Source organism: Homo sapiens, chromosome 13, assembly GCF_000001405.40.
Source record: "Homo sapiens chromosome 13, GRCh38.p14 Primary Assembly".
Taxonomy (NCBI): Eukaryota; Metazoa; Chordata; class Mammalia; order Primates; family Hominidae; genus Homo; species Homo sapiens.
In genome coordinates this window covers 36,249,452-36,268,790 of record NC_000013.11, presented here as the reverse complement: position 1 = coordinate 36,268,790, position 19,339 = coordinate 36,249,452, and the positions used below count along the sequence as shown (strand labels likewise).

Genomic DNA, 19,339 nt, shown 5'->3' with positions numbered 1-19,339 from the left:
TTGTAATGTTTCCAGGATCATTTCTAATTGAGCTTATTTGGATCTTCTCTCTTCTTTTCTTGGTTAATCTAACTAATGTTCTATTTTGTTTATTTTTTCAAAGAGCCAGATTTTTGTATCATTGATCTTTTGGGGTTTTTTTGTTTGAATTTCATTTAGTTCTACTCTGATCTTGTTATTTCTTTTCTTCTTGTAGCTTTGGGTTTGGTTTGTTGTTGTTTCTCTAGCTCCTTGAGGTATGACGTTAGGTTGTCAATTTGTACTCTTTCACCTTTTTTGATACAGGCCTTTAGTGCTATTAACTTTCCTCTTAGCACTGCTTTTGCTGTATACTAGAGGTTTTGATAGCTTGTGTCATTATTATCATTCAATTCAAAGAATTTCTAAATTTCCATCTTTATTTCATTGTTAACCCAGATATCATTCAGGAGCAGATTATTTAATTTGCATGTATTTGTATAGTTCTGAGGGTTCCTTTTGGAGTTGATTTCTAGTTTTATTCCTCTGTTGTCTGAGAATATACTTGATATGATTTCAATTTTAAAAAATTTATTGAGATTTATTTTGTGGCCTATCATATGGTCTGTCTTGGAGAATGTTCCATGCGCTCATGAGAAGAATGTATACTCTGCAGTTGTTGGGAAGAATGTTCTGTAAATATCTGTTAAGTGCATTTGTTCTGGAGTGTCATTTAAGTTCATTGTTTGTTGACTTTCTGTCTGAAAGATCTGTCTAGTGCTGTCAGTGGTGTATTGAAGTCTTTCACCATTATTGTGTTGCTGTCTCATTTCTTAGATCTAGTAGTAATTTTTAAAATTTAAACATTTTAAAATGTTTTATAAATCTGGGATCTCCAGTGTTAGGTGCATATAAATTTAGAATTGAAATATCTTCTTGTTGAATTGATCCTTTTGTCATTATATAGTGACCATCTTTGCTTTTTTTTAATGTGTTATTGCTTTGAAGTCTGTTTTGTCTGATATAAGAATAGCTACTACTTCTCACTTTTGGTTTCTATTTGCGTGGAATATCTTTTTGCACCCTTTTACCTTGAGTTTATATGAATCCTTCCATGTTAGGTGAGTCTCTTGAAGACAGCAGATATTTGGTTTGTGATTTTTTAAATTCATTCTGTATTTTTTAAGCAGAGCATTTAGACCATTTACATTCAGTGTTAATATTGAGATACGAGGCACTGTTCTCTTCATCATATTAATTGTTACCTAGATAGTTTTTTTTCATTGTGTTATTGTTTTATAGTCCCTGTGAGTTTTAAGGTTTCAAGAGGTTCTGTTTTGGTACATATTGGGCTTTTGTTTCAAGGTCTAGAACTCCTTTTAGCATTTCTTATAGTGCTGGTTTGGTAGTGACAAATTCCCTCAGCATTTGTTTGTCTGAAAATGACTTTATTTCTCCTTCATTTATGAAACTTAGTTTTGCTGGATACAAAATTATTGGCTGAGAGTTATTCTGTTTAAGGAGGCTGAAGATAGGACTCTTATCTTTTCTGGCTTGTAAAAATATGAAATTCTTCATGAATTTGTGTGTCATTCTTGCACAGGGACTATGCTAATCTTCTCTGTATCATTCTAATTTTAGTATATGTGCTGCAGAAGTGAGTACTCTTGGTTGGCTTTGCCAAACTTTTCCTAGACTACATTACAGCCTAGGATGCTTTTGCTTTCAGCCAACCTTCTCTCACTGTCCTTTACTAGGGCTAAGACTTGCATTACTGTCAGACTGCTCTCCTGGCCTCCTCCTGCTCCCTCTCTATTTCCTTTTACATGGGCATATCTGATAACATGATCCTTGTACATGTAATCCCATCTTAGTGTCTGCTTCTCAGAAGACCAGTTCTAAAACTAGGAGTATGGATAGTGATACGAGAAAATAGGAGGTAATTTGTAACTGGCTCACTCACCATGTAGCAGGATCTGTTCTGATTGGTAGGTGTGACAGCAATAGATCCTGGCCCAATGTGGCAGTTCACTTCATAAAGATTGCACTGATGATGATCTTGGAAAATGTCCTGTTGGAGTAGAATACTGTGGAAGAAGCCATGATGCAAGCATTTGCTGCTAAGTTGTATTGACACCCTACATAAGGATAATGAGAGGCTGAGAACTGTTAACAAGTATGTGAAACGAGAAAGCCTTGGTGGTAGCCTCATAAGAGGCCCTCTATACCAGTAGTGGAAGGGTGGACAGGGTAAAACAACAGGCTAAAGACCTAATTGTGAGAGTTGCAGAGCTCCAGAGGCATCTGAATGCTCAGCCCAGGTAGGTCTGTTATGTGAAGGACAGGGCCCTGATAGGGATGACCAGGGATCCTGAAAACTCTGACAGGACATCTGGATAGGTGCCCCTAAGGATCTGGAGTCTACAAGTCTACCTGAACCCTCTGGGTGTGCAGAGGTGGCCCACCCTTCCCTAATAAGGGCTAGAAGAGTACCCACTGTCCTGGAAGATGCTGCGGAGGCCTCTTCCCAACAAGACAACTGGTTTCCCCCTCAGGAGCTGCACCCACCTCCTCCCCTGCTTGCCAAGCCAATTAAGAATGGTGCTGTTCAGCATCTCTAATTAAAGAAAGAAAAGCAAGAACAGAGGAGCAGGAGGCTGAAGACAGTCAGCCCAGTGGAAAGCATAATTCTTTACTCATTTCCCAGACCTGAACTAATTTCCAGAACCAGAAACTACTGACCAAAGAAGTGGCTGGATTCCTAAGAAGGGCCCTGCAATACTAGTCAAAGTTTATATTATGACAGTATCCACAGTCCTCCCAAAACGGACCTCTGGCCATTTACACAGGTGACTGTACACTGAGGAAACGGAAATAACTAGATCTCTCAAGGATGATTGAGCACAGGGTCTGAGTTAACGTTGATTCCTAGAGTGGAAATCTATGACCAAATTCCAAATCACAGTGGGCTCAATGTGCCCACAGACTCCCCTACCCCTGCAGTGATAACTATCTCCATCACCAAGTACATAATTGAAATAGATATACTTGACAGTTGAAAGTTACCCCCTTATGGGTCTCTAATTTCTGAAGTAAAAGCTATCATGGTAGGGAAAAGACCAAATAAAAACTTCTGAAACTGCTCCCTTCATCAGATCAAAATTGTAAATCAAAAACATCTCTTATCCCAGGGAAGACAGTAGCGATTAGTGCCATAATTAAAGACCTAAAAGACGCAAATATACTGCTGCCTAACATAGCTCTCTTTAATTTGCCAGCCTAATGGCTGCAGAAACTGGGTGTCTTATGGGGAAAAACTGTAGGCTACTGCAGACTTAAACAATTAGTAGCCTCATTTGCAGCTACTTTGCCCGATGTGATATCACTGCCAGAGTAGATTAATAAGGTTTCAGTTACAGGCTGTGCAGCCATTGATTTGGAGAATACATTCTTTTCATTTCAGTTAGAAAAGGTGATCAGTTTGTGACTCCTTGTTTCAACTAGAACGTGTATATATCTTGAAAGTTGTCAATCTTGTCGTCACAACAAGAAAATGGTGATCAAACTGAAAATCAATGACTTTTCTTGGACCCATTAGAAAATTGAATTTGCAGGGCAAACTCCTACCCTGAAATCTGGATAAACAGACAAAAGTGGACGGTCACAACTGAGATCTGTTTACCTAAAATGAGAGCTGCTAGAATTGTAAACTGGTAGGTGCACCTAAATGGTAATTTTGATAAATTACTGGAGGAAGAATAGACAAATCCATTATGAAAGTTGGAGACTTCAACATCCCACTGTCAGTGATTGATAAATCAAGCAGGCAGTTGACCTGAACAGTGCTACCAATCAACTTGATCTAACTGACATTTATTGAATATTCCATCCAACACCACCAGAACACAGATTCTTCTCAAGCTCACATGTAACATTCATCAAGACAGACCACATTCTGAATCCCCTATTAGATTCTCAGCTTCATGAGGACAGGGTCTGGGTTTGTAATTTTTAGTGTGCTATCCCTAGCACAATGCCTGACACATAAGAGGTGCTTCATAGCTAGTTTTTGAATAAATGAATGAATTGTAAAATTAGGCTACGAGACAAGGAATCTAGTCAGGTTGGGAATAGCAGCAAGATATAGTCTAAGTCACAAAGGAAGTACAGGTATATTAAAAATTTTTAAGCCTCGAGAGTTAGAATTGCAAATTCACACCTGAAAGTAACAGAAAACATCCTCTGTCAGAGAGACTGCCACTTGACTAATATTCCTAAGTCCCTATTTTCATCATATCTCTTCTTTAATAACTTGGAATAGCTCCCAGTTCTTAGACTCCTGAGCCTAACATGTTAAGCTTTCTTTATCCAGGTCCTTCCCTAGGTATCCTACTTTTTTTTTTATTTATTGCTCAAATATTTTGCTTCAGCTGTATCACTCTCATTAAATAATCATTTCTGATTCAAGCCTGTGACCAGTATATAGCTCTTTCATCTCACTTTTTCCATCTAAATCCTTCTCATTTTAGGGACTCTGTAGCCCATGTTGATCAACTTCTTTTAAAAACTTCTGAAGTATTTATTGTGTATGTTTCAGATTTTGGCTTTTAATCATATATTGCCTGTATTTTTAACTGCTATTTTGAATGTACTTTTTTTGGGTATGAATTTCTAAAGTTTTGAATCCCATCTAATTCAGGTTATCTTTAATGCCAAAATAATTTGTGTTTCAGAAAGTTATTTGTAAGCTAACTTCTTTTAGAACTTAGAATACATTTTCCATTAAAACTATACTAAAAAGGGTTGGATTCATTTTACATCTATAAATGTATTTAACAAATTATGTAACTGATCTATGTTACTATGGTAGCCTAAACTTGGAATTCTTGGAGCAAGCGTCCATGTGGCAGAATTTTGAACTACCTCCCTCACCCCCTGATTATCCCTTCAAAAGCTCTTCATATTGAGCAGTTTATTTCATAGGGCTTTAATTTTCTATAAAATGATTCAGTTTAGCTTCTTGCATATGTTTACCTTTTATTGATTTTCTTCTGGAGCAAATTTGTATTTGGGGGAAGGGAACTGGAAACCATTCATGATACTAGTGTGTAATTAATTTTTGAAGAACAATAATACCTACCTGAGAAATATCACCCAATTATGTTTTAACAGGGATGTTAGTCAAACATATATAGTGAGGATGTGTCATTTCTGAGGGACTTGTTTTATCACTAGAATTATTTTCAGAGACTGGAACTTGTCCTGTTTCACCTAATTATTCTCTTAATATAATTTTTAAAATTCTAATAATTGTTAAGAAGTATCTAAGAGAGAATAAAGTGTTTAGAGAAGTAGCTGTGTTTCAGGAAGGTATGAGCTCTAAAATATTTTGCAGTTTTGCTTTGTGGAGATATAAATCAGCTGCTTCCATTTTTCTTTGAATGATTCTTTTAATAGATTTAGTGACCTAGATCATGACCAATATAATTGAGAGAATTTGACTTGAAGATTTTTTCCCTTTAATTTGCAAGAATGTGAGAACTAATTGGAGTTACTGAAAATGATCAGTTATCAGTTGGGGATTAAATTTTAAACCAAATGAGTATGTTATTGCTCTGACCTCTAACCCTTTTTTTCCTCTACTTTCGTACCAATGTTTTGGGGAACTTGATTGTAAATTCAACACATACTATAGCCTTGAAATTCCTCGAACTGCTTAATTCTATTAATCCCTCCCTCTCCTACTCCTTTTCAGCAACCCAGATACCATGGCCAAACCCTGGGCTTTAACATCTCCTTTGTAGAGGGCATTTTGGTTTGGTTTGACCAGCATTCCCTTTGGCTTCTTCTAGGACAGAACTCACCTCCTTCTGCAAATTGTATTTTCTCCTTCTTTCAGTCATATGCTTTATACCAAAAGAGTTTTCACTGCTTTATATGTCCCCAGAGCTCATTAGTCTAGAGGTGGAGACCTTACATAGACTGGCCAACCACAGTATCTCTTAGAAAAGAGATACCCCCATCACTGATCCAGAGCTGGGCACAGAGACATAGTTCAAGAAAGCAAGGCCACTAGCTCTGGACCTATAGTTAGATGGCCCTTTTATGCACAGAGCAGAGCCCAGAACATACTTCCTAGGTAAAAATCATTCTTTAAAGATGCTATGCTGGGCTATCCAGTATATACCAATCTTCACCCCTCCAGCCACCTTTATCCTTTCAGTTGGGGCAGGGGATCTTCAGGTTTTCATGATTGAAGGCTTGAGCCACAATTAAAAGCATATTTGAAGCATGACTTGAATTCCTAGGTATAGTTCAAAGCTAGTAGTACTTCTATTTATTTAGGTATTAGAACTAATCTTTGTGGCACATGTTAGAGGAGTCCAAGACTACCAGGACAGGGCCAGTAGGAGACTAGATCTAGCAGTAAATCAATATATAATGTACTTTCACACCCAGAAGGAGATGGAGGTGTTCATCATTGATCAGGTACTGGCACAGTCATGCTGGTACAGTTCAAATAGCATTATGTGAGATTGGTCAGGCTGGCCTTAGAAAATTATTTCCACCCATCTCCTTTTTGTCTAAGGATGAGATCACATACCTCCCCAAGGGCTGTGTATTTGGTAATCTGAACACTATGTGCTGAAGTGTTGGCAGAGGAGGTTTAATTGTTAACATAAGTCATTTCTGGGTGGTAGATTCAAGTTGGGTGGGGCCAAGCATTTCTGGGCAGCACTAGAGGGGTAGACAGTTATTCCTCTATATGAACTTCCTGAAAAAGTTTCTGACATGTGACAGTCTCTCAACAGGGGCACCTCTTAATGGTTTTCCCAGAGTATAAGAGAAAACTAAAAAGTGTGGGATGATTAAACAACCCAGACCTAAGCAGATTTAGAGTAAATTGGCATCTGGGTCTACTGGGCTAAAATCAACTGACGAATTTACCTGAACTCACAAATGCACTGCAGTAAATTCCAACCAGCAAGTTCCCAGTGGCATGTTTCTAATGTTCAGTTCTGTGATCACAGGGCAGGCTCTGGAGGCAAGTCTAATCATAAAGAATACAGCTTTCCTACGGAACAGGCACATGTTATCTTCTAGTGGTAGTGTGGGTTTTCTTTGCTATGAATTAGCTCTATGCCTAGCATTCTGCCTTCAACTCATATGCTTTGAGCCCCTAATTATGCTAGGCTGCCAGTCTTGGATATCAACCAGTTGAGTGTCCAGCCAGTCCCACCTGAAAAGGATAGTAAGATTGTTTTTTTGGCCTAAAGGAGCCCTTTTGAGTGAAAAAACAAACAAACTTCCTTCTCAGAACTGATAGATTGCCAAATTATGTTGCTGGCTGAGGCACTGTGGTAGGAAAGGTAAAACTATCAGGAACACTTGTCAGGATGAATTGTTGCTCTTTTGAGGTTGGAAGGCATCTTGTATAATCAGCTTGCCACCAAGCAGCTGATTGATCTTGAAGGATGGCACAGTAACAGGGGCTTATGTTGTCGTCTCTTATTGGCAGGCTAGACATTGAGCAGCAGCAGTACTAGATTAGTCTTGGTGGGAAGGGACCCATGCTGTTGAGCCAATGCAAAGTCGCCATCTCAGCCACTGTGGTTACTGTTCATGAGCTCATTGTCCACCCACTGGGGTGACCAAGAACAGAAACCAGATGCTATCTCCTGGTTAAGCCTTTGGTCCACTTGGTTTAATGCCTCTTACACAGTGGGTGCTCTCTGGTGAAAATTACTGCGCAATACAGGGATTTCACCCTTTGTTCCCACTTTTATAGGACCATCCACATACCTCTTTCCCAGATTTCCTCATCCCCAGTTATCAAGTCAGTACAGATTTCTGCCCTCAGTGAATGTTGGCCAGGTAGAAGGATTATTAGATTCTTGAAAGCTTTTCTACATTTCTATATGTGATACCCAGGAAACCGTGTACTTCTAGGTCCTCTCTGAAAAGCTAAAACAGATGGGGGTAGGAGGCTCTTATGAAAAGTAGCATTCAGAAAAGAAAGTTCTAGAGTTTGTGAGGGATGCACTAACACAAAAAATGAAAAACAATATGATCACGAAAAGGAGATTATTTATCAAGCCAAAGAAGTGGAAGAAGTAGAGTGGTAGAATAGGCACTAAAGGAGAATTGTGAGGATATTACAGAGTAGACCAGTTGTAAGACCTTAACCTAGATACTCCTCATCACAAGTAGCTGGAGTTTTTTACATAAGGGTTTCCATACATTTGTTTTACTAATACCAGGAAACTAGTGTAACTCAGATTGGAAGATAACAATTATACATTTTAATTGTATATTTCTCTAACAATTTATAATCATGTATATATATGGTATTACTGATGTGGATCAAGATAATTCACTACATTCCATCTTTTTATAAAAAAAGTGCCATACACTTTTTCCTATATTTGGATGCCTGTTTGATCCTGTTTTTGTAGATTTCTAAGTTAGTTTTCACCAGGAAGTAAAAATCGACTGAGAGTATACAGTTAACAGTAGGACATCCTCTTTAAATGTCTTTGCCTGTACCTCTTTTGTTACAATGGTAACAATAAAATGAACACACATATAATAATTGTTTACCCTCTGTTGCCTTTGGAGTCATTTTACCTGGGTTCACGTTCCAGCTCTACCATTATTAGCTGCGTGTCTTTGAGCCAGTTATGTAATCTCTATAAGCTGCAATCTTCTCAACAGTTAGATAGAAATATATTAGCCATTTCAACTGTAATAAGGATTAAATGAAATAATCTATGAAAAGCATTTAGGCCCAGGGCTCCCAGAGGCATGGAGAGGGACTGAGCTGGGGCAGGCCAAGGAGGCACCTCCATTGGAGCAGGCCATGCCCGAAGGCCACAAACTGCCCACCTGCCTCAGGCAGGCCTGTCAGCCACCCCTCCCCTCCCTGCGCCCAGTCCCTGGCAGGGCCAGAGAGGCCACCACCTGGTGGGAGTCTGGAGAAGATGAGGCAGGAGAATAGGGTCTGGAGACAGGGAGCCTAAGGCCAACCTGCCTCTGACTTCTTGGAATTAAACCTAAAGGAAAACTTCAACCTTTGGTCACGAGCCAAGTCTTCACTTCAGCCTCTGATTGGTCGTGGGCCAAGTCTTCACTTCAGCCTCTGATTGGTCGTGAGCCTATCCTTCATTTGCATAGAGTGTAACTCCACTTCAGCCTCTGATTGATTGCAGGCCATGTCTTCAGCCTCTGGTTGGTCGTGGGCTGTCTTCATTTGCATAGTGTGTAACCAATTGGAAACCTCTAAAGGGTGTTATCAAGTTCTTTTAGTTAATAACCCCAGGGAACATACTCAGACCTCTTGAGCCACTTACTTAAGCCTGCTTCACTCTGTGGAGTGTCCTTTTGCTTCAACAAATGTATGTCGCTGTCGTCCATTGCTTTGTTTGAGCATTTTGTTCAAGTCTTTGTTCAATACACCAAGAACTTGGACAACTGGCAGTCAAGACTTTCCATCCGGTAACAATGGGAAACCAAGAAGCGCTTCCTGGGGGAGAGCTCATAATGTTCCTGAGGGAAGCCACGACAAGATGGTGGCTCTGAGGGGGAGACAGGGACCAATTGACTCAGCTCATCGCCAGGGGTCAGGACGCTGCCTTCTAATTCCGCCATCCTGCTCTCGGCCCTCACTATCATGGCGGCTCTCATCACTTTAGTCCTGCTGCCTACATAGACTGTGGTATCCGAGGGAGCAGGATCCTGGGAGTCCCTGGAGCCTGCCTTCTTGGAAAGAGCAGGGCCCCAGCACAGGAACACATTCTAGATGTGCCTGCAGGGAGCAGGATTCCTCTGCAGGCACTCATCCCGGCAGCTTCAGGCTCTTGGTTTTGATTGTTTTCACACCTGTGACAGATGACATGGCCAGTCACACTGTAATGTCTGGAGAAACTGTTAATGGAAAGGGGTCCCGATCCAGACTGCAAGAGAGGGTTCTTGGATCTTGCACAAAAAAGAATTAGAGGCAAATCCGTAGTGTAAAGTGAAAGCAAGTTTATTAAGACAGTAAAGGAATAAAAGAATGGCCACTCCATCAGCAGAGCAGCCCCCGGGGTGCTGGTTGGCTATTTTTGTGCTTATTTCTTGATTATATGCTAAAGGAGTGGATTATTCATGAGTTTTCCGTGAAAGGGGTGGGCAGCTCCTGGAAATGAGGGTTCCTTCCCTTTTTAGACAGGTAAATTCCTGATGTTGCCATGGCATTTGTAAACTGTCATGGTGCTGATAGAAGTGTCTTTTAGTATGCTAATACATTATAATTAGCATATAATGAGCAGTGAGGATAACCAGAGGTTACTTTTGTTGCCATCTAGGGTTTTGGTGGGTTTTGCCCCATTTCTTTACTGCATCCTTTTATTGACCTGTACCTTGTGCCAACCTCCTATTTCATCCTGTGATTAAGATTGTCTAACTTCCTGGGAATGCAGCCCAGTGGGTCTCAGCCTTATTTTACCTAGCCTCTATTCAAGATGGAGTTGCTCTGTTTCAAATGCCTCTGACAAAAACCTCTGTAGGGGAGCAGGACTCAGCAGACAGGCTGTGGCCCAGACAGCAGCTGCTGAGCTGATGGAGCCTGCACCCACCCAATTTGGCCAAAGAAGCCCCCATACTCTCCTTGAAAAAGATTTCCAGAAACTGTTGTGTCAATAACAGTCTCAAAAGCAAAACCACCAACACTGAAGATCATTCTAGAGTCTGATTTGAAAACTAGGGTCAAATTCTGCAGAGGCTTTCAAGTGGCAAAAAAATCACCCTAGTAGCCAGATCTGCGGTCTCATCCATCACACCAGGGAAAATGTTCCATTCGCCATTCCTCAGCTTCTGGTTCTGGTTTCTGAGTTCTGTCTATATTGGAGGGCTTTTAAAGCTAGAGGGACTTTACCCACTTACTCATTCACAGATCTGAATATGGAGGTCAAGAGGGGAAGTGACATGTCCTAAGTCAGAGTAGACAACAAAATAAGACAATGACTGAGCCCTTAGTGTATACTGGGCACTGGCTAGCTACTGGGGATATGGAGATGAAGAAAACATAGTCCCTTTTACAAGGAGCTCAATCTAGTAAGGTAGAAAGATTTTTTCTTTTTTTCTTTTTTTTTAGTTGGAGTCTTGCTGTGTTGCCAGGGTGGAGTACAGTGGTGTGATCTTGGCTCACTACAACCCCCGCCTCCCGCGTTCAAGCGACTCACTTGCCTCAGTCTCTCGAGTAGCTGGGACTACAGGCGTTTGCCACCACACCCAGCTAATTTTTGTGTTTTTAGTACAGACGGGGTTTCACCATATTGGCCAGGATGTCTCGATCTCTTGACCTCGTGATCTGCCTGCCTCGGCCTCCCAAAGTGCTGGGATTACAGGCATGAGCCACCACGCCCAGCCGGTAGACAGACTCTTTGTAGGCAGGACCAGGCTTCCCTGAAGCAGAAGGAAACTTGAAATTAGGGTAATGAACCTCACCAGGGATGGGCCACCACAGTGCCCTGAGAGGATTGTGTGGACACAGGGCTATGAGATAGCCCTGCTTTGACCTTCTAGCTGTGCTGTAGGGCTAGATGGGGCCTGAAATGGCCTGAGCTAGGGGCTGCCATGAGCTCTTTCCACTCCCCCAAGGCATTGCATAAGTAATGTCACTTTCTATTTGTACAGCCAAATCAAGAACACAGTTTTCTATAACACCGGGTACCTCCCCTATCCCCAGCTCAATAGGTGGTCTACCTGGTCGTTAGGCCCTTGTTTGTGTTAAAGACAGAACACTAGTGGTCAGCTGTGGCCCACAGGCCACTAGCAAATGGAAGCAGAGCTGCAGAGCCCTCAGGAGCCAGAGAGCACCTCTGCCTGCCACACAGTGCCTACCCAGCTGCTGCTGGCCCACCTGTGGGCAGTAGTAATTAGTGATGTGCAGAATCCTGGGACTAGTGCCAGGGAACCTATGGACACTCTGGGTGATCAGACATGTGCTGCTGTGGTGGCCTTTATGATCAGGAGATGACATGCAGTGAGAAGAAGGGAAGAGACAGCCCAGAGGGGTTCAGCCCAGGGTGAGGTCCACAGAGAGGCCAGGGCCAAGATGTGGCCAGCACCCCAGGCCGGTGGGGGCCTCATATCACCCATGCTGGAGGTCAGTCCTTGATCACTCAAAAACCTCTGCTTGAGGGGTTCTAAATGAAATGAGTAGGCCTTCCCTTCAGACGTGACTGAGTGATATGGTTTGGCTCTGTGTTCCCACCCAAATGTCATCTTGAATTGTAATATTCCCACATGTCAAGGGCAAGACCAGATGGAGGTCATTGATTATGGGGGCTGTTTCCTCCATGCTGTTCTTGTGATAGTGAGTTCTCACAAGATCTGATGGCTTTATAAGTGTCTGGCATTTCACCTGCTTGCTCTCATTTTCTCTCCTGCTGTCCTGTGAAGAGGTGCCTTCCACCATGATTATAAGTTTCCTGAGGCCTCCCCAGCCATGCAGAACCATGAGTCAGTTAAACCTCTTTTCTTTATAAATTACCTAGTGTCGGGTATTTCTTCATAGCAGCATGAGAACGAACTAAAACAGTGAGCTGAGAAAAGCGTGAAAAAACAGGCCTCCTGAACTTCCCTAAGTGACTGATGCAAATCACGTCCCTCACACTTCACAGCATGCTGGAGATCTTCAAGGGCAAACTGCAGATGATCTGAATGACAGCACTGACCATCAGCAACCTGCACAGCTGCCCAGCCAAGAAATTGCAAGATGGAAGCAACGCTTGCAGGCAAAGAAGGAGAAGGAAAGGCTGGAGCAGGCCAAGACAGGAATGAAACAGCCCACATGAATATTGGAGTGGGACAACTGACCTCCCTGGCCCACACCGTGCTGAGCGCCCTGCATCTGGTCAAGGGTGGTAAGAGACTACGTGGAGGACGAGGACTTGGCAGTGAATGGGGATTGGGGAAGCAGGACATAGTGGGTCCTCTTCAGCGTCCTGGCCACAAGTTCCTCTGAAGACTGTGGATGACAATGGTAGCTTAGGTGCATCCTTCTTATTTCCTGAGGGGATGTTGGAGAAGCAGAATGCAATTATGGGAAGAAATCCAAAGAAGGAAAGAACTCACAGGACAAGTCCAAAGTCTGATCGGCAAGCAGGCCTCTTTTTTTTTTTTTTTTTTATGGAGCCTTGCTCTGTCACTCAGCTTGGAGTGCAGTGGCACAATCTCAGCTCACTGCAACCTCTGCCTCCTGGGTTCCAAGCGATTCTCCTTCCTCAGCCTGCCGAGTAGCTGGGATTACAGGCATGCGCCACCATGCCAGCTAATTTTTGTATTTTTAGTGCAGACAGGGTTCGCCATGTTGGCCAGGCTGGTGTCGAACTCCTTAGCTCAAGTGATCTACCCGCCTCGGCCTCTCAAAGTGCTGGGATTACAGGTGTGAGCCACCACACCAGGGAGCAGGGCTTTCTGCAGGGTGCAAGGGCACAGCCTGTGGGAGAGTTCCCGAAGCTGTAGCTGACCCTCCCCACTCTATCTGAACTGCATGGAGAACGCATGATGGGGTCTCAGCAGCAGTCCATGGAGGAGGACACCTACTGCCTGGACCCCGACCAGAGACTTCACAAGGTGCATGAAAACTTGAACTGCTTGTATCAGACTGCTACAAGTTGTTCCTAGAACTGGCCCAAGAATTGAAGAAAGACACTTCCAGTTTTCACAGCAAGACCCTCTTCCTTGAGAAAACACCTCAGGAAAGCTGGATGACCGCCATGTCCACTGAGAGAGCACTCTGGGCACTCTGGAAAAAAAAATGACCACAACAGGCAGAAGCCAGCTAACTGTGAGGCCAAGTTCCTGCCCCCACAGGGGCCAGGAAGTGCCAAAGGAACCTGGAAGTGCCAGGGCCCCCAGGAGGGAGGCAGGTCACGATGTGAGGGCTTGGGTCCAAAGCACCAGCTGGTTTGATTCTGTTTTCCCTGTAGCCAGGTCCTGAATGCCCACAGCCTCAGCAGAACATCAGCCAGTGCTGCTCCTTTGAAAGCACTTTTGATTGATCTCTTGTTAGTTTAGCTACTATTCATTAGTCGATGTGGAAATTGCCCTTATTGAAGTTTGATAGAGAGTGTTAGGTTTGTACGATACCGTTTTTCAAATAAAGATAGTTTAATATGAAAAAAAGAAAAACACTTAGTACAATACATGACATATTGTTAGGGTTCAATAAATATTGTGATTATTACTATTACTTAAAAAGTACACATTAGCCCGGTGCAGTGGCTCACGACTGTAATCCCAGCACTTTGGGAGGCTGAGGTGGGTGGATCACCTGAGGTCAGGAGTTTGAGACCAGCCTGGCCAACATAGTGAAACCACGTCTCTACTAAAAACACAAAAAATTAGCCTGGCATGGTTGCAGGTGCCTGTAATCCCAGCTACTTGGGAGCCTGAGGCAGGGGAATCGCATAGACCTGGGAGGCGGAGGTTGCAGTGAGCCAAGATCATGCCATTGCACTCCAGCCTGGGTGACAGAGTGAGACTCTGTCTAAAAAAAAAAAAAAAAAAAGTACATATCATAGAATTATGAAATCACAAAATATTAGGTATACAAGGCATTTACTAGTGAAGAAATTGATGGTCATTTCTTATTTTGTTTAGAACATGAGTACATATAAAATTTTACTATTTATATTTTTAGGAATCCTTAAACACATTACTTAAACAGCTAGAAGAAGAAAAGAAGACTCTTGAAAGTCAAGTGAAATACTATGCACTTAAACTGGAACAAGAATCAAAGGTTTGTTTTTACTCTATACTTAGCAATTCCTTTGAAACTGCCATTATTTCTAATGTTATCTACAAACCTACTCTATAATTAACACAAAACTATTTCCTACACTATAGAGACATACACCTTAACTTAGTCTTGCTAGTATTGCTAATCTTCTCATATGTTGGACCCTTTGCTTTTGTATCTTCACACAGGCTTACCAGAAGATCAACAATGAACGCCGTACATACCTAGCTGAAATGTCTCAGGTAACTCTTTTTTATTTCCAAATTCTAAGTGTTTCTTCTTACTGTAAATTATGTTTTTCACTTTTCTAGGTTTTGTTTTTGGTTTGGGAGAGAAGCAGATTTTGGAGTTAAGTTTCTAAATATGGAGGGTAGACAGGAAAATATACAACTTGTATAAAAAATAAAAAGGGCTGGGCACTGTGGCTTAAGCCTGTAATCCCAGCACTTTGGGAGGCTGAGGTGGTCGGATCACGAGGTCAGGCATTTGAGACCAGCCTGGTCAACATAGCGAAACCCTGTCTCTACTAGAAATACAAAAATTAGTTGGGCGTGGTGGTGGGCGCCTGTAGTCCCAGCTACTCAGAGGTGAGGCAGGAGAATAGCTTGAACCCAGAAGGCAGAGGTTGCAGTGAGCCAAGATCACACCACTGCACTCCAGCCTGGCTGATAGAGCAAGACTCCATCTCAGAAAAAAAAAAAAAAGTAAAAAGGACATAACAGTTTTCCAAATTAAGAGGTTATTTTTTGTATTTGCTTCCTTAATTATCCTTTTAGTTTCACCACTAATCACTAGAATTCAAACAGGTAGCTGCTATCTCTGGGCTATCATGAAATTCAAGGCACTTCACTTTATAATTATGCATGGTAAGATCTCGAGAGATGGAACTTTTGTTAGTAGAAGTGCGTACTTATAAATACAGGACAAAGAGGTGATCAGTAAATTATGAAAGGTGTTGCATCTATTTTCAAGCTATCCATTTGCCTTTCAGTTTTATTTATGATATCGTTGGTATTGTAGAGTTTTTGTTTTGAGGTTGTCAGAGCTATCTTTTATTTATGATTTCTAATGTTACAGTTAAAAAGACCATCTCAATGTTTCATAGCATTCACCACATATTTTAGTATTTGTATAGCATAATATCTGACGTTTAAATATTTAATCAATATTAATCTTATTTTGGCATATGTTTTAAGATTAGGATGTAAACTCAGTTTTCAATGTGTGTTATCCAAATGGAAGTGTCCAAAGAGCAGTTGGATATATGACTCTCAGGAAACAAATAAAGATTTGAAAATTATTAATTTCAAATTATTATATAAAATTTCAAAATTATTATATAAAAAGTGAAGTCATTGAATGAATGAAATGCTTTGGGGAGAATATACAGTGGGAAAAGAAGAAATAGTCTGGGATATTGCTCTGAAGAAGTTCAACAGTGACAGTCAAGGGAGGAAGAGCCGAAAAGAGGGTTGGAGTCCTGAAGACATAGCTAGGTCAGACAAGGAGGTAGAGGATTTTGAGGATGGGAGTGGCATGCAGAATAATCTGCTAGTCACTGATCCAGAATATCTAGAGGGATAATGAAAGGATTGAGAGGAAGGGCATTAGGTTTGGGGATTAGAGCTAATGGGGGACATTTAGAAAATTTTGAGAAAGTCAGTTCTATTGTTGGTAAAGGGAAGTATGTGTTGTAGTGTTGACTAAGGTAAGTAAGAAATTGAGACAAGATAGGATAAGTTCTTGCATTCTCTTGTCTGTAAATGGATGATTAGCTCAAACTTCATGTTCCTTGATACTGGGCTGAAGGCACTGGTTCCTCCTAGATCACAGGCATCTTTATGCCTTTCCTCAGACTATGTGCTTGGAATGTGCTCCTTCTCATACATGCCAATTCCACATCCTTCAAGGTCTAGCACAAACACTACCTCTTTATGGGGCCATGACATGATGAAAAGACCAGACTGTAATGGCATTGCAAATCTGAATTTGAATCCCAGCTCTGCACTTACTACCATGTGACCTTTCTGGGCCTTAATTTCCTTCCTCACCTGTGAAAAGGAAATATCAGTATCTTGCAGGGGTTTTGTGAGTATGTAGAGAAATAATATGTGCGAAGTGCTGGTTGAAGTTTCTGACACATAATAGGTTTTAAATTCCAGTAAATGGTGAATATCACTTTCCTGTGTTTCTTTTCTGATTTTCCTAGCCCCTCTCTGTGACAGGGGCACCAGAATTTCTACTTGCCTTAGCCTTCCTCTTGGTCCCTTATTGCTGATATATCTGTTTGCTTCACTCAGCTGTAGGTTCCTCCCTGAGGTCAGTCAGGGTGACTCATGCTTTCTATTCCCTTTCACAAAGAGTGGCAAAAAGCAAATATGCAAAATTATTTACTGAACTGAACATAAAATAGAAATGTATGCTCATAATCATAAGCCCAAGTTATTAAGAAAAAGGTGATATATAAAACATTGTTGGAGGATTTTTTTTAAGGTTAAAAGTAAAGTCTTTTGTCCCCAAAGCATTCATTTACCTTAGTTTATATGAAAAATTCACTTATGTGAAATAATCCTACTCTGACTCCGCAGGATCACTGAACATATGATAAAAGCCTATTTTAACAGCTTCCCAGGAAGATGTTAATACTGTCCCCAGTATAAATGTTAAAGATTTTCACTCTAGAGTGAATTGTTAATCTTTATAGTGAAGGACAGTTCTAACCATGTGGATACTACGGTGATTGGAAAGGTTAATGGATGATTTGCAGTTCTTCCCATGCTGAATACATAAATAATTGATTCATTGGTAGATAACTAGAGCTATTTGCTGAGTGTGCTGTTTATCCTTCTGCTGCTGTCCTCTCTGTAGCTTTGTCTCACTCTTGATTCACTGTTTTGAATGAAACTGAGTTTCCCCCTCTTGGGAGTCTTCTGATATGCACAACATAAGTACAATACGGACATTGCTTTTTAACACATAGGTACGTTGCATTACTTAAAAGTCAGGCAGAAAGACCGATTAGAGCTTTTTGCAGCACATAATAAACTTAAGTTTTAGCTTCTATCTTTGTAAACATAGGATTTTAGCAATGGCTCTGAGAGATTGAGGAATATAATGCTTTTAGCTCACAGATAAGGAATCTGAGGCTTTTCTGTTTCATTATCGGGAAGTTCTAATTGTTAAAATTGTTAAAACATCATATGATGCCTCTTATTCTCTTTTCCTGAAACTTCCTTAAAATCCACTGGTTTTAGTTACATCCTCTGAAGAATAAGAACAAGTCTACACTCCTGCAAGATAGTTTTTCAAAGATTTGTAAATGACTCTCAGTCTTCCCATAGGTTTTTGTTTTGTTTTGTTTTCTAAGCTAAAATATTAAGTTACATTAGCCATTCCTCATAACATAGGTTCCAGACTGCCCAGGTATTTCAGCTGCCTTTTTGGACAATTCTGTTATTGTTCATTTAAAAATGTGGCTGCCTAGGTTTAAATGTAGTACTTAGGTTTAAATTTAGTACTTTAGATATAATGTCAACAGCATAGTTACCAAAGTCTTAACTAACTCTGCCACACCCATTTTTCTTCTCTGCTGCCTATCATTCTGAAATACAGATACAATAGTGTTCTTTCCTGTTAAAAACCTTCAGTTTGCATTACCCAGAGGATCACAGCAAAGCTCTTTTGGTGTGGTCTCTGCAGGGTCCTCTTCAACTTGGCTGTTCCTGTCTCTGCAGCCATATCCCTGCTAATATCCTAGACTGCCGTTAGACCAAATGCTATGTGCTATTCCTGGATATATCTGCTGCTTTATACCTAAGGTCCTTACTGTTACTTTTACCTAGAATATTCTTTCCTTAGTTCTTAATTGGCTGCTCTTCCATGTGGAGTCCCCCATACCCTCAATTAGCTACATCTCCTGTATGCTTGCAAAGCACCTGTGCACATCTCCATCAAGGCACTTAATTGTAATCACCTATTTATTTTGCTGTTTCCCCGATAGAACCATAACCCGTTTGTCTTTGTACCTGAGTGCTTAATGTAGTGGCAGCATATAGTAGATGCTCAGTAACATTAGCTGAATGAATGAATGAATTCTATTTTCTGTTCCAATATACCCAAACCTGTCACTCATATCAAATGATCTAATATCTTAGCTCACACCCAAAAAGAGAATCTATCAGGTGTGAAACCCAATTTTCCTCCTTTTTATTTTCAGATTTACTATCCTGTTCTTCCTGTCTTAAAGGAAAATGATCCCAAACCTCTTCCCCAGTCTTATCTGCTGTCTCTAGGACTTACTTAATAATATCCCTTCGCATATTTTTAATCTCTCTTTTACTGCCTTTGGCTTATCCTTTGCTTGTGACATGCTCAACTCTTCCACCAAAACAAAATAAAAACAAACTTTTACTTTACGATTAACTGTCCTCATAAAACTACCACCTTAGCTTTCTTTTTCTCAGCCAAACTTCATGAATAAATGAATATACTCATTGCCATTGCTTTTTAGTCCTCTATCTCTTTTCATTTCTCTTGTGACCCCGCCATCATGCTTTCGCCTAGTTTATCTCTTAATAGCCAAATACAGCAACT

General features: G+C 41.1%; 2 protein-coding genes and 1 pseudogene across 8 annotated transcripts in view; 2 read left to right on the top strand and 1 right to left on the bottom strand.

The window, feature by feature from the left end:
* CCDC169-SOHLH2 (CCDC169-SOHLH2 readthrough) overlaps positions 1-19,339 on the top strand; it is a 129,598-nt gene that overhangs the window by 29,024 nt on the left and 81,235 nt on the right. The window contains exons 3-4 of the mRNA NM_001198910.2: positions 14,648-14,746; positions 14,935-14,988. Of these exons, the coding sequence (NP_001185839.1) occupies positions 14,648-14,746; positions 14,935-14,988 (153 nt within the window). The remainder of the gene's footprint in view (positions 1-14,647; positions 14,747-14,934; positions 14,989-19,339) is intronic.
* The window catches only part of CCDC169 (coiled-coil domain containing 169), a 75,811-nt gene that overhangs the window by 29,024 nt on the left and 27,448 nt on the right, over positions 1-19,339 (top strand). For all 7 annotated transcript variants that reach the window (NM_001144984.3, NM_001144983.3, NM_001144982.3 and 4 more), the window contains 2 exons: positions 14,648-14,746; positions 14,935-14,988. In NM_001144984.3, the coding sequence (NP_001138456.1) occupies positions 14,648-14,746; positions 14,935-14,988 (153 nt within the window). The remainder of the gene's footprint in view (positions 1-14,647; positions 14,747-14,934; positions 14,989-19,339) is intronic.
* RNU6-71P (RNA, U6 small nuclear 71, pseudogene) lies at positions 1,517-1,623 on the bottom strand (annotated as a pseudogene).